Source organism: Homo sapiens, chromosome X (assembly GCF_000001405.40).
Source record: "Homo sapiens chromosome X, GRCh38.p14 Primary Assembly".
NCBI lineage: Eukaryota > Metazoa > Chordata > Mammalia > Primates > Hominidae > Homo > Homo sapiens.
The window spans coordinates 75,345,592-75,361,478 of record NC_000023.11 but is presented as its reverse complement, the minus strand read 5'-3'; the positions used below and the strand labels follow the sequence as shown (position 1 = coordinate 75,361,478).

General features: G+C 37.6%; 1 pseudogene; it reads left to right on the top strand.

Annotated features, from left to right (window-relative positions):
* The first annotated feature begins 2,023 nt into the window (after nucleotides 1-2,023).
* Nucleotides 2,024-15,887, top strand: part of TERF1P7 (TERF1 pseudogene 7) — a 32,777-nt pseudogene continuing 18,913 nt past the window's right edge.

Here is a 15,887-nt window from a genome sequence, read left to right as displayed (position 1 = left end):
TATAGGAATGTGCAAATATATTGATGTGCATTTTCTTTACATTATAAGCAATATTTTTCAAATCTAATATTCTCACTATGTGCAATGATACTGAACAATTAGTTTCTCTTTTAATATTACAATATTCATTTTTGCACAGTAGCAAAATATGTCAGTGTTTAGACTTCCAAATCTAGAGGGGTAAAATAATTGTGACAACAAAAAGTACATTTTAAGCAAACATTTTTGAAAGAAAGAATCTGAATGTTTATGGTTTTGAAAAAAAATTTTCTCATAAACTTTAACTGAAGTACTCATATCAATTTTGCACATTAGCATAGTCTCAGACCCAGATCCTGACAATGTTGGCAAACTCTAAAATAAATCTGGATATAGAATATAAGAAGGTCAATGAAAATAAAACACAATTCACTACACAGGCAAAGCAAAAGTTTTGTTATTGGAACATTAAAGAATGTAGTAATAATTAGTCAAAAATTATGATTAGGTTATACTTACCAATCCACTTTCATGCTATGCATAAATTACCCTGGGCAATTAGAAAACACTTATTAGAATAATGTGGTTCAGACGAACCCAATACAAATGCAAATCTGAAGCTACCTCTGAATCACAAAAAGTCTGTGTGTGTGTGGCAAGGCTACCACATTCTGAATATTGAAGGTCCTGTAAAATATAAAAGATCAAAGGGGAATACTGGGGAAATAAAGCAAGATGAGATAGGAAACAGTAACATTTTTTTTTTTTTTTTTTTTTTTTTTGAGACGGAGTCTCGCTCTGTCGCCCAGGCTGGAGTGCAGTGGCGCGATCTCGGCTCACTGCAAGCTCCGCCTCCCGGGTTCACGCCATTCTCCTGCCTCAGCCTCCCGAGTAGCTGGGACTACAGGCGCCCGCTACCACGCCCGGCTAATTTTTTGTATTTTTAGTAGAGACGGGGTTTCACCGTGTTAGCCAGGATGGTCTCGATCTCCTGACCTCGTGATCCGCCCGCCTCGGCCTCCCAAAGTGCTGGGATTACAGGCGTGAGCCACCGCGCCCGGCGGGAAACAGTAACATTTTTAACCCACTTTCCACTTGATTGTCATTTCCCCTAAACTTTGAGGCCTTCTATTTTCTACTTACGCATTTTCAATCTATAAAAATTATGGTTTTGTTGAGGGTAAAATTAATTTACCTCTTCTATGTCTACCTTATTAGCTGAATAATAACCAAGAAACAACTTCAGACATGCATTTCTACCATTGCTTCACTCTGACTATCTTAACAGAACCACCTGGTGCACCTATTACTGAACATTATTTTTAAATACTTTCATTTGTCATGAACTTATAAGGTTTCTACTCTTTATTCACCTGTAAGTTTTGGACAACCTCAGTTCAGCCAAAGTAATCAGAAACCAGTTTGCGTCTATGTGGCTATTTACAAGGGGTGTAGACACTACAGTCCCAGTTTCTAAATTGAAAACTGTATATAATATGGAGTCTCTCTCGTGTTGCACAATCTACATTTTAATTCTACTTCTTCATAATAATTGTCACTGCCATAGGCTATCATCTTTGTTAACACTGTTAACAAGAAAGATAGGGAAGATAGTAGAAAAGGAGAGAAAGGGAGAGTGCCTGAACTCATTTGAGGTTGCCTAAAACATTATTTTGGTAATGCACTGCTTTTGGAATCTGAAAAAAGCTATGGACACTCTCCACATAAAAATACAAGCATGTGCAGGCACACATACACAAACGCACATGTGCACACATAATTTTACAATTTCAGAGTGTTTTAAACGACTCTGAAATTACATAACTTACTTAACTTAGTTGATAATTTCTACCTTACATTGTGTCCCATCTTTATAGAATCATCAAATCAAATAAGTGCACTCGAATGTGACCCTGTGCTACATGATGAAACTGGGCTACAAGTTACCAATTAATGCAAATTCTATTACTGAGTTTATTATATTTTCATAATTTGTTATTTCCACAATCTTCCACTCCATTACCTGAGGCTTTGGAGCAGTTAGATGAGCAGCAGTATAGCCGTTGCTAAGGATATCAGAGAGATGGGCTATGTACACAACAGGTACTATATAAAGTCCTCTCTTCAAACAACAAGGGACCAAATGTATTTCATCACATTAAAGGAGCCTTAAGATGATAGATGTTGGCGTATTTAGCTCATGACAGTGTTATTTTTAGTAACATTGCCATTGGTTTTTAAATGTCAGAAATGGGTTTTCAAAGAAAATTTTATATTATAAGCATTATGTTCATTTTTACTCTGAAACCCTCTGTTATTTATTGGATCTTGGAAGGTGCATGCTGGAAGTTTTAATAGCTCTTTTAATTGTGTGTTAATTAATACTACATGGCAGTGGCTCTCAAAAGTAGGGTCCCTAAAGAACCACCCAAAAGCAGTATGGGAAACAACCTCTGTACCTCATACAGTGCCAGAAACAGTTCATTTTAACCTCCACCAGAGGGTAAAAACCTGGTAATACATGGACAAGGGGCTAGAAAATTCACAAGGGTTTTATGTAGTGAGTAGTAGGGAAATTTTATGCCTAAGCTAAAGAGCGTTCTAAACCTGCCCAGAAAAGCTTAGAAACAAATCTTATAAGGATCAAATTGTTCACAAGTAACTTCACTACATCTCAGAACAAAACTCAATGTTAATTATAACAAACATATCTAGCACCCAAAGTGATAAATTTCACACTATCTGGCATACAATAAAAAATTACCAGGCATTCAAAGGAGCAGTAAAATACAACCAATGAAGAAAAGAAAAGTAAATCAGTAAAATCAGACCCAGAAGTAATAGGGACAATGGAATTTGTAGAAAAGTAAAGAAAAAGTATTAAAACAGTTATTATATCAATATTCCATATTTCCATATGTTCAAAAAGGTAGAAGAAGATATAAGTGTGTTAAGGAGGAAGATGAAGGATTAAAAAAAGACAGAGGTGAAAAAACATGCCAGATGGTATTAACAGGTGATTAGACACTGCAGAAAAATAATTTAGTGCTTCATCACATAGCAAGTTTAAATAGTTTAGAAGCTACCTAAAATTAAACAGAAAAAAAGACAAACAGAACTGATAATCAGTGAGCTGTGGCACATCCTCAAGCTGTTTGATATAAGTGTAACTGTAGTCCTCAAGAAAAGGGGGCAGAAAAATATTTGGAAGAAATAATGGCCAAAGGAGATTAGTTCTAGAATGGTGGTGTAAGGAACTCCACAGGTACTCCCCCCAGCAAAAGCATCATAACTGGTAAAACAATATTTTTAAAGTAAACGTTTTAAGTCTCTGAAAATTGTCTTAAGAGCACATAGCAAATGAAACAATGATTCAAGAAAATCTATCAAATCTCACTATGAACAGTGAGACTCTAGCACTTGAAACACAGCCTGCTCCCTCCATTTTCCCTCCGCTCCACCAGCTCAGCCTGATCCAAGCTCTACTCCAAGTGGGTGCAGCCAAAAACACAGACTCCCTTCTCCCTACTTCTTACCAGTGAAGACTTCAGTATTTGCTCTGGAGTGGCAGGCCACCAACATTTTTTACCCCTCTCTAGTTCCACATGACAGAAGCTCTATCCTGGGCAGGAGCGACTTAGAACTTTGAGATTCTTCATTCACCAGCCCACAACCACAGGGGAGGGTTCTACCCAAGGCAAGACAGGCTAAGAATACCAGTGCCCCAACAACTTTCATGATAACACTCAAAACATTAGGAATGGAAGGAAACTTCCTAAACATAAAGTACATTTATGAAAAACTCACAACTAACCTCATACTTAATGAAAGACTGACAGTTTTTCCCGTAAGATTAGGCACAGGATTCCCTATTTCACCACTGCTATTCAACACTATACTGGAAATTCTAGCCATAGAAATTAGACAAAAAAGAAATAAAAGTCATCCAAATTACAAAGGAAGAAGCAATACTATCACAGATAGTGAAGTGAAACTATTCACAGATGATATGTTCCTATATGAAGAAAATCCGAAGGATTCCACAAGAAAGCAACTAGAGCCAGAAGTGTTGGCTCATGCCTGTAATCCCAGCACGTTGGGAGGCCAAGGCAGAAAGATCACTTGAGGCCAATTCAAGACCAGCTTGGGAAACATAGCAAGACCCCATCTCTACAAAAAAAGAATTTTTTTTTTTAATTAGCTGTGCATGGCGGTGTGTGGCTAAAGTCCCAGCTACTTCGGAGGCTTAGGCAGGAGCATCACATAAACACCCAGGAGTTCAAGGCTATGATCATACCACTGCACTCCAGCCTGGGTGACAGAGTGATTCTGTCTCAAAAAATAAAAATGAAAAAGAAGGAAATAATAGCTAATAAATAAATTTCACAAAGCTATAGGGTATAAGATAAATACACAGGAAGTTAAGAAAGCAATTTTATTTACAATAAAGAATACCTAGAAATAAATTTAACTAATGAAGTAAAAGATTTACACACTGAAAACTACAAAATCTTGTTGAAAGAAATTAAAGAAAACCTAAATAAACAGAGATATCCGGTGCTCATGGATGGAAATATTTAATATTGTTAGGATGTCAATATTACCCAAAGTGATTTACAGATTCAACACGATTTCAATATTCCAATAGCATTTTTGCATTTATGAAAAAAGCTGATCTTCAAATTCATATGAAACTGCAAGGGGCCCTAAATAGCCAAAATAATCTTGAAGAAGCAGAACAAATTAAGATTCACATTTCTCAGTATCAAACCCTTCAACTAAACTACAGTGATTAAAACACTGTGCTACTAGCATAAGGACAGACACATAGACAATGCAACAGAAATAAGAAGCCTGAAATAAACACATATATCTATGGCCAAATAATTTTTTACTAGGGTGCCATGTTCAACCAATGGGAAAAAAGTCTCTTCAATAGCTGGTGCTGGTACAACTGGATCTCCACATACAAAAGAATGAACTTGAACCCATACTTTACACCATATAATAGGGAATTTCAAATAATTCATGGAAAATGCATATTATAATAAAACTATCCACAACATTCAAAAATGTTTTACACCAAAATAAACCCATACTGTTATAACATGTCTGAACAGGATTTAGCTTGAGGCACTCAGAAAGATAAGTCCCTATCACAGCAACATGAAGTCTGCTAAATTTGAAACAAGAACAAATATCAATATTATAGTGAAGCTTGAGTGGAAGAATAGTGAAATCACTGATGCTTTATGAAAAGATTATGAGAACAATGGCACCAAAAAATAGATATTTGCAAATGAATAACTCATTTTAAGAAGAGACGATACAACATTGAAGATGAAGCCCATGGCAGCAGACCATTCACATCAATTTGTGAAGCAAAAATTCATCTTGTTCATGCTGTAGTTGGAGAGGAGCAGAAACAATAGCCAACATGACAGACATCTCAATTGTTTCAGCATACACATTTCTGACTAAAAATTAAAGTTTAGCAAACTTTACATTTGATGAGTGCCATAACCATTGCACCAAGATCAGCTGCAGACAAGAGCAGAGTTTTCAATGGAAATTTTAAAAAAGTGAGATCAACATCCTAAAGCATTGCTTCAAAGACTTGTAACAGGAGGCAAAATGAGGCTTTACCAGAACTATCCTGAAGACAAACACAATCAAAACAATGGCAACAAAGAGGTCGAAGTGGACTAGTCAAGAGCAAAGGTCATGGACACAGTTTTTTGGGTTGCTCAAGGCATTTTGCTTCTTGACTTTATGGAGGGCCAAAGCACAATAATATCTGTTTATTATTAGAGTATTTAGGGTTAGCCAAATATTTAGCAGAAAAATGCCCAGGAAATCATCACCAGAAAATCCTTCTTCACCACAACAATTCTCCCACTCATTCTTACCAAACAAGGGGAATTTTTTGAGAGTTTCAGTGGGAAATCATTAGGCATCCACCTTACAGTCCTGACTTGGTTCTTTCTGACTTCTTTTATTTCAGAATCTTAAAAAATCTGTAAGGGCACCAATTTTTCTTCAGTTAATAATGAAATAAAAGACTGCATTGACATGCTTAAACTCCCAGGACCCTCAGTTGTTTAGGAATGGACTAAATTATATCACAATTCCTGAGTCCTTTCAACTATCTGGAAAGCCTTCTGAAGAGGGACAGGTGCAAACAAAGCCAGACTGCAAAGACTAAAATAAATATCTAACTCTTCACTACCAAGACACAGGCAGACACCTACAAGTATCAAGACAATCGAGGAAAACATGACTACACTGAATTAACTAAATAACCAGGGAGCAATCCAGAAAAAATAGAGATATATGACCTTTCAGACAGAGAATTCAAAATACCTGTTTTGAGGGAACTCAAAGATATTCAGGAGAACACAAAGAAATCAGACTTCTATCAAATAAATTTAACAAAGAGATTGAAATAGTTAAAATGAATCAAGTAGAAATTATGGATGTGAAAAATGCAATTGGAATACTGAAGAATGCATCAAAGTCTTTCAATAGCAAAACTGATAAAGCAGTAGAAAGAATTAATGAGTTTGAAGACAGGCTATTTGAAAATACAGTCAGGGCCAGGCATGGTGGCTCACATCTGTAATCCCAGCACTTTGGGAGGCTGAAGTGAGAGGATCACTTGAAGTCAGAAGTTTAAGACCAGCCTGGCCAACACGGTGAAGCCCTGTCTCTACTAAAAATACAAAAAAAAAAAAAAAAAAAAAAAAAAAAAATTAGCCAGGCATGATGGCAGACACTTGTAATCCCAGCTACTCAGGAGGCTGAGGCAGGAGAATCACTTGAACCCAGGAGATGGAGGTTGCAGGGAGCCAAGATCACACCACTGCACTCCAGCCTGGGTGACAGAGTGAGACTCTATAAAAAAAAGAAAAGAAAGAGAGGGAAAAAAGAAAACACGGTCAGAAATGACCAAAAAAAAGGGTAAAAAATAATTAAGCACACCTACAGGATGTAGAAAATACTCTAAAAAGGCCAAATCTAAGTGTTATTAGCCTTAAAGAGGAAGTGGGTGGGGGGGTTGAAAGTTTATTCAAAGAAATAATAAAAGAGAACTTTCCTAACCTAGAGAAATATATCAATATTAAAGTATAAGAAGGTTATAGAAGACCAAACATATTTACCTCAAAGGAGACTACCTCAAGGCATTTAATAAACTCCCAAAGATCGGGGACAAAGAAAGGATACTAAAAGCAGCATGAGAAAAGAAACAAATAACATACAAAGGAGGAGCAGACCTTTCAGTGGAAACCTTACAGGCCAGAAGAGAGTGGCATAACATATTTAAAGTGCTGAAGCATAAAAAAGCTTTTATCCAAGGACAATATATCTGGTGAAAATATCCTTCAAACGTGACTGAGAAAAAAGTTTCCCAGACAAACAAAAGCTTAGGGATTTCTTTTTATATTTATTTTTATTTAATTATTCTATTTTATTTTTTCATAATTCTTAGTACATTCTGAAGCAAAGGGATTTCATTATCACCAGATGTGTCCTACAAAAAATGCTGAAGGGAGTACTTCAATAAGAAAATAGAACATTTATGTGCAATAAGTAATTACCTGAAGGTGCAAAACTCACTGGTAATAATAAGTACACAGAAAAACACAAAATATTATAACACTGTAACTGTCTTGTGTAAACTATTATCCTAAGTAGTAAGACTAAATTATGAACCAATCAAAAATAATACCTACAACAACTTTTCAAGACATATGCAGTAAAATAAAATACAAATAGAAACAACAAAAGCTTAAAAATTAGGAGGACAAAGTTAAGGCATAGAGATTTTATTAGACTCCTTTTTGCTTCTTTGTTTATTTATGCAAACAGTGTTAAATTGCTATCCACTTAAAATAATCCCGTGTAAGATGGTATTTGCAAGCCTCCTAATGACTTCAAAAAAACAAAAAAACACAACAGATACAATAAAAAGTTAAAAGCAAGAAAATAAATCATATCACCAGAGAAGACCACCTTCACTAAATAAAAGACAAGACAAGACAAGAAAACAACAAAACAACCAGAAAACAAATAACAAAATGGCAGGAGAAAATCCTTACTTATCAATAATAACACTGAATGTAAATGGACTGAACTCTCCAATCAAAAGGCAGAGATAGGGCTGGGCATGGTGGCTCACACCTGTAATCCTAACACTGGGAGGCTGAGGCAGGTGGATCACCTGATCTCAGGAGTTTGAGACCAGCCTAGCCAAAATGGTGAAACTCCGTCACCCCTAAAAATACAAAAATTAGCCAAATGTGGTGATGCATCTCTATAGTCCCAACTACTCAGGAGGCTGATGCAGGAGAATCACTAGAACCAGGGAGGCAGAGGTTGCAGTGAGCCAAGACTTCACCACTGCACTCCAGACTGAGGGACAGAGCAAGACTCAATCTCAAAAAACAAAAAAGACAGAGAGAGGCTGAATGGATTAAAAAGACAGACACATTGATCTGTGATCTGATGCCTGCAAGAAACATGCTTCACCTATAAAGACACACATAGACTGAAAATAAAGGGAGGGAAAAGGATATTTTATGCCTATGGTAACAAAAAAAGAAGAGCAGGAGTCACTATGTTTTTATCAAACCAACTAGATTTCAAGGCAAAAACTACAAGAAACAAAGAAGGTCAATATATAATGATAAAGGGGTCAATTCGGCAAAAGAATATAACAATTGTAAATATATATGCCGAACACTGGAGCACTCAGATATATAAAGCAAACATTATTACAGCTAAGGAGAGAGATAGACCCCAATAAAAAGAAAATAGCTGGACATTTCAACACATCCTTTCAGCATTGAACAAGTCTTCCAGAAAGAAAATCAACAAAGAAAGATCAGACTTCATCTACACTATAGACCAAATGGTTCTAATAGACATTTACAAAACATTTCATCCAATGGCTACAAAATACACATCTTTTCCTTAGCACATTAATCATTCTCAAGAATAGACGATATATTAAATCACAAAACAAGTCTTAAAATATTCAAAAGCATTGAAATAATATCAAGCATCTTCTCTGAAGACACTGGAAGAAAATTAGAAATCAATAACGAGGAATTTTGGAAACTACGCAAATAGATGGAAATTTAAAAATATGCTCTTGAATGACAAGTGGATCAATAAAAGCTACAGAAACGTGGTCAGACTGTTAAAAGAAAAACCAATTCAAAGGTTAGCAACGTCAAAGACTGAAGGTAGATAATCCCACAAAGATGAGAAGGAAAAAAACAGTGTAAGAACACTGAAAACAGAAACCCAGAGTACCCTCCTTCCTCCAAATTACCACATCACCTCTCCAGCAAGGGTTTGGAACGGGGCTGAGGCTGAGATGGCTTTAATGACAGAAGTAGATTTCAGACGATGGATAGGAATGAAGTCCACTGGCAAAAGGAGCATGTTGTAACCCAATGAAAGGAAACTAAAAATCATGATAAACATTGCAGGAGTTGACAGACAAAACAGCCAGTATAGAGAACAAAAAAAAACCGTCCTGTTATAGCTGAAAAACACTACAAGAATTTCATAATGTACTCACAAGTATTAATAGCACAACAGACCAATAGAAGGAAAGAAAATCAGAGCTTGAAGACTGCCTTTCTGAAACAAACACTCCCCAGCAAATACAAAAGAACAGAACTCATAACAGTCTGTCAGACCACAGTGCAATCAAATTAGAACTCAGGATTAAGAAATAAACTCAAAGCTGCACAACTACATGGAAACTGAACAAACTGCTCCAGAATGACTACTGGGTACATAACAAAATTAAGGCAGAAATAAATAAGTTATTTGAAACCAATGAGAACAAAGACACGACGTACCAGAATCTCTGGGACACAGCTAAAGCAGGGCTTAGAGGGAAACATATACCATTAAATGCCCACAGGAGAAAGCAAAAAAGATCTAAAATTGACACACGAACATCACAATGAAAAGAACTAGAGAGGGAAGAGAAAACAAATTCAAAAGATAGCAGAAGACAAGAAATAACTTAGATCAGAGCAGAACTGAAGGAGATAGAGACATGAAAAACCCTTCAAAAAATCAATTAGTCCAGGAGCCGATTTTTTGAAAAGGTTAACAAAATAGAACGCTAGACAGACTAATATAGAAGAAAAGATAGATGAATAAAATAGACAAAAAAAGGGTAAACAGGATATCACCACTGATCCCACAGAAATACAAACTACCATCAGAGAACACTATAAACATCTCTACACAAATAAACTAGAAAATCTAGGAAAAAATGGAAAAATTCCTGGACACATACACCCTCCCAAGACTAAACTAGGAAGAAGTTGAATCCCTGAATATACCAATAACAAGTTCTGAAATTGAGGCAGTAATTAAGAACCTACCAACCAAAAAAAGCCCAGGACCAGATGGATTCACAGACGAATTCTACCAAAGGTACAAAAAGGAGCTGGAACTATTCCTTCTGAAACTATTCCAAACAATAGAAAAAGATGGACTCCTCCCTAACTCATTCTATGAGGCCAGCATCATTCTGATACCAAAACCAGGCACAGACACAACAAAAAAAGAAAATTTCAGGCCAATATCCCTGATGAACATCGATGCAAAAATCCTCAATAAAATACTGGCAAACAGAATCCAGCAGCACATCAAAAAGCTTATCCACCACGATCAAGTTGGCATAATCCCTGGGATGCAAGGCTGGTTCAACATAAGCAAATCAATAAATGTATTCCATCACATAAACAGAACCAGTGACAAAAACCACATGATTATCTCAATAGATGCAGAAAAGGCCTTTGATAAAATTCAACACCCCTTCATGCTAAAAACTCTCAATAAAGTAGCTATTGATGAAACTTATCTCAAAATAATAAGAGCTACTTATGGTAAACCTACAGCCAATATCATAGTGAATGGGCAAAAGCTGGAAGCATTCACTTTGAAAAGCAGTACTAGCCAAGGATGCCCTCTCTCACCACTCCTATTCAACATAGTATTGGAAATCCTGGCCAGGGCAATCAGGCAAGAGAAAGAAATAAAGGGTATTCAAATAGGAAAAGAGAAAGTCAAATTTTCTCTCTTTGCAGATGACATGATTGTATATTTTAAAAGCCCCATCATCTCAACCCAAAATCTCCTTAAGCTGATAAGCAACTTCAGGAAAGTCTCAGAATACAAAATGAGTGTGCAAAAATCACAAGCATTTCTATACACCAATAACAGAGAGCCAAATCAGAGTGAACTCCCATTGACAATTGATACAAAGAGAATAAAATACCTAGAAATACAACTTACAAGGGATGTGAAGATCTCTTCAAAGAGAACTACAAACCATTACACAAGGAAATAAGAGACGACACAAACAAATGGAAAAACATTCCATGCTCATGGATAGGAAGAATCAATATCGTGAAAATGGTCATATTGCCCAAAGTAATTTACAGATTCAATGTTATCCCCATCATGCTACGATTGCCTTTCTTTACATAATTAGAAATAACTACTTTAAATTTCATATGCAACCAAAAAAAGAGCCCATATAGCCAAGACAATCCTAAGAAAAAGAACAAAGCTGGAGGCATCACACTACCTGACTTCAAACTATACTACAAGGCTATGGTAACCAAAACAGCATGGTACTGGTACCAAAACAGATATATAGACCAATGGAACAGAACAGGGACTTCAGAAATAACACCACACATCTACAACCATCAGATCTTTGACAAACCTAACAAAAACAAGCAATGGGGAAAGGATTCCCTATTTAACAAATGGTGTTGGGGATACTGGCTAGCCATATACAGAAAACTGAAACTGAACCCCTTCCTTACACCTTATACAAAAGTTAACTCAAGATGGATTAAAGACTTAACCATAAGACCTAAAACCATATAAACCCTAGAAGAAAACCTAGGCAATACCATTCAGGACATAGGCATGAGCAAAGATTTCATGACTAAAACACCAAAAGCAATTGCAACAGAAGCCAAAACTGACAAATGGGATCTAATTAAACTAAAGCACTTCTGCACAGCAAAAGAAACTATCATCAGAGTGAACAGGCAACCTACAGAATGGGAGAAAATTTTTGCAATCTATCCATCTGACAAAGGGCCAATATCCAGAATCTACAAAGAACTAAAACAAATTTACAAGAAGAAACAACCCCATCAAAAAGTGGGTGAAGGATATGAACAGACACTTCTCAAAAGAAGACATTTATGGAGCCACCAAACATATGGAAAGGAGTTCATCATCACTGGTCACTAGAGAAATGCAAATCAAAACCACAATGAGATAACATCTCATGCCAGTTAGAATGGCAATCATTAAAAAGTCAGGAAACAACAGATGCTGGAGACGATGTGGAGAAATAGGAATGCTTTTACACTGTGGTGGGAGTGTAAATTAGTTCAACCATTGTGGAAGACAGTGTGGTGATTCCTCTAGGATCTAGAACCAGAAATACCATTTGACCTAGCAATCCCATTACTGGGTATATACCCAAAGGATTATAAATCATTCTACTATAAAGACACATACACACATATGTTTATTGCAGCACTGTTCACAATAGCAAAGACTTGGAACCAACCCAAATACCCATCAATCATACACTGGATAAAGAAAATGTGGCATATATACACCATGGAATACTATGCAGCCATCAAAAAGGATGAGTTCATGTCCTTTGCAGGGACATAGATGAAGCTGGAAACCATAATTCTCAGCAAACTAACACAGGAACAAAAAACCAAACACCACATGTTCTCACTCATAATTGGGGGTTGAACAATGAGAACACATTGACACAGGGAGGGGAACATCACACACCAGGGTTTGTCAGGGGGTGGGAGGCTAGGAGAGGGATAGCATTAGGAGAAATACTTAATGTAGATGATGGGTTAATGGGTGCAGCAAACCACCATGGCACGTGTATACCTATGTAACAAACCTGCACGTTCTGCACATGTATCCCAGAACTTAAAGTATAATTTTAAAAAAGAGAGAGAGAGAGAATTATGGGAGCTACAAGATGAGATTTGGGTGGGGACACAGAGCCAAACCATATCATTCTGCCCCCGGCCCCTCCCAAATCTCATGTCTTCACATTCCAAAACCAATCTTGCCTTCCTGACAGTCTCTCAAAGTCCTAAGTCATTTCAGCATTAACACACATGTCCACAAAGTCTCATCTGAGAAAAGGTATGTCCCTTCTGCCCATGAGCCTGTAAAGTCAAAAGCAAGTTAGTTACTCCCTAGATACAATAGGGGTTCAGCCATTGGGTAAGTACAGCCACTCCAAATTGGAGAAATTGGCCAAAACAAAGGGGCTACAAGCCTCATGCAAGTCCAAAATCCAGTGGGGCAGTCAAATCTTAAAGCTCCAAAATGGTATCCTTTGACTCAGTGTCTCGCATCTGGGTTACACTGATGCAAAAGGTGGGTTCCCATTGTCTTAGGCAGCTCTGCCCCTGTGGCTTTCAGGGTATAGCTGCCCTCCTGGCTGCTTTCACAGGCCAGGATTGAGTGTCTGTGGCTTTTCCAGGTTCAAGGTGCAAACTATTGGTGGATCTGCCATTCTGGGGTCTGGAGGATGGTGCCCTCTTCTCACAGCTCCACTATGTTTGTGCCCCAGTAGGGACTCTGCATGGGGGCTCCAACCCCACATTTCCCTTCTGCACTGCCCTAGCAAAGATTCTCCATGAGGGCCCCACCCCTGCAGCAAACTTCTGTCTGGGCATCCAGGCATTTTCATACATCCTCTGAAATATAGGCGAAGGTTCCCAAACCTCAATTTTTGACTTCTATGTACCTGCAGGCTCAACACCACATGGAAGCTACCAAGGCTTTGGGCTCCCACCCTCTGAAGCAACAGCCCAAACTGTCCCTTGGCCCCTTGTAGTCACAGCTGGAGTGGCTGGGATTCAGGGCATCAAGTCCCTATATTGCACACAACAGAGGGACCCTGGGCCCGGCCCATGAAACCAATTTTTCCTCGTAAACCTGCAGGCCTGTGATGGGAGGGGCTACTGCAAAGATCTCTGACATGCCCTGGAGACATTTTCCCCATTGTCTTGGAGATTAACATTTGGCTCCTCGTTACTTATGCAAATTTCTGAAGCCAGCCTGAATTTCTCCTCAGAAACTGGGATTTTCTTTTCTATCACATTGTCAGGCTGCAAATTTTCTGAACTGTTATGCTGTTTCCTGTTTAAAAGTGAATGCCTATAACAGCACTAAGGTCACCTCTTGAATGCTTTGCTGCTTAGAAATTTCTCCACCAGCTACACTAAATCATCTCTTTCAAGTTCAAAGCTCCACAAATCTCTAGGGCAGGGGCAAAATGCTGCCAGTCTCTTTGCTAAAACATAACAAGAGTCACCTTTGCTCCAGTTCCCAACAAATTCTTCATCTCCATCTGAGACCACCTCAGCCTGGATTTCATTGTCCATATCATTATCAGCATTTTGTCAAAGCCATTCAACTAGTCTCTAGTGGGTTCAAAACTTTCCCACATTTTCCTGTCTTCTTCTGAGCCCTCCAAACTGTTCCAACCTCTGCATCTTACCCACTTCCAAAGTCACTTCCACATTTTTGGATATCTTCAGCAATGCCCCACTCTACTAGTACCAATTTGCTGTATCAGTCTGTTTTCATGCTGCTGATAAAGACATACCTGAGACTAGGAAGAAAAAGAGGTTTAATGGACTTACAGTTCCACATGGCTGGAGAGGCCTAACAATCATGGTGGAAGGCAAGGAGGAGCAAGTCATGTCTTACATGAATGATGGCAGGCAAAAAAAGAACTTGTGCAGGGAAACTTCTGTTTATAAAACCATCAGATCTCATGAGACTTATTCACTATCATGAGAACAGCATGAGAAAGACCCATATGGTTCAATTATCTCCCACTGGGTCCCTCCCACAACATGTGGGAATTATGGGAACTACAAGATAAGATTTCTGTGGGGACACAGTGCCAAACCATACCAAACTCCCACACAGTAATAGTGGGAGACTTTAACAACCCACTGAAAATATTAGACAGATCATTGAGAGAGAAAATTAACAAAGATATTCAGGACCTGAACTCAGCACTGCATCAAAAGGATCTGATGTATATACACACACACACACACACACACACACACACACACACACACACACACACATATATATTTGGCTGGAGCATTCTGTGTGTGTATATGTATATACACACACATACACACACACACGTACACAGAATGCTCCAGCCAAATCAACAGAATATACATTTGTGTCAATGCCACATGTCACTTACTCTAAAACTGATCACATTATCAGAAGCAAAACACTCCCCAGCAAATGCAAAAGATGTGAAATATGTGTGGTATCTCAAACCACAGAGCAATCAAATTTTATATCGAGACTAATAAATTCACTCAAAACCATGCAATTACATGGAAATTAAATAGCCTGCTCCTGAGTGACTTTTAGGTAAATAGTGAAATTAAGGCAAAAATTAAGAAGTTCTCTGAAACCAATAAGAACAAAGATACTACATACCTGAAACTTTGGGACACAGATAAAGGAGTGTTAAGAGGGAAATTTATAGCACTAAATGTCTACATCAAAAATCTAGAAAGATGTTAAATTAACAACCTAATTCACAACTGAACTAGAAAAGCAAAAACAAATCAACCCTGAAGCTAGCAGAAGATAAAAAATAACCAAAATCAGAGCTGAAATGAAGGAGATAGTGACATGGAAAACCACTCAAAAGATCAACAATGCCAGGAGTTGGTTTCCTGAAAAAAACAATAAAATAGATAGACATCGAGCCAGACTAATCAAAAAGAAAAGAGAATATTCAAATAAACACAATCAGA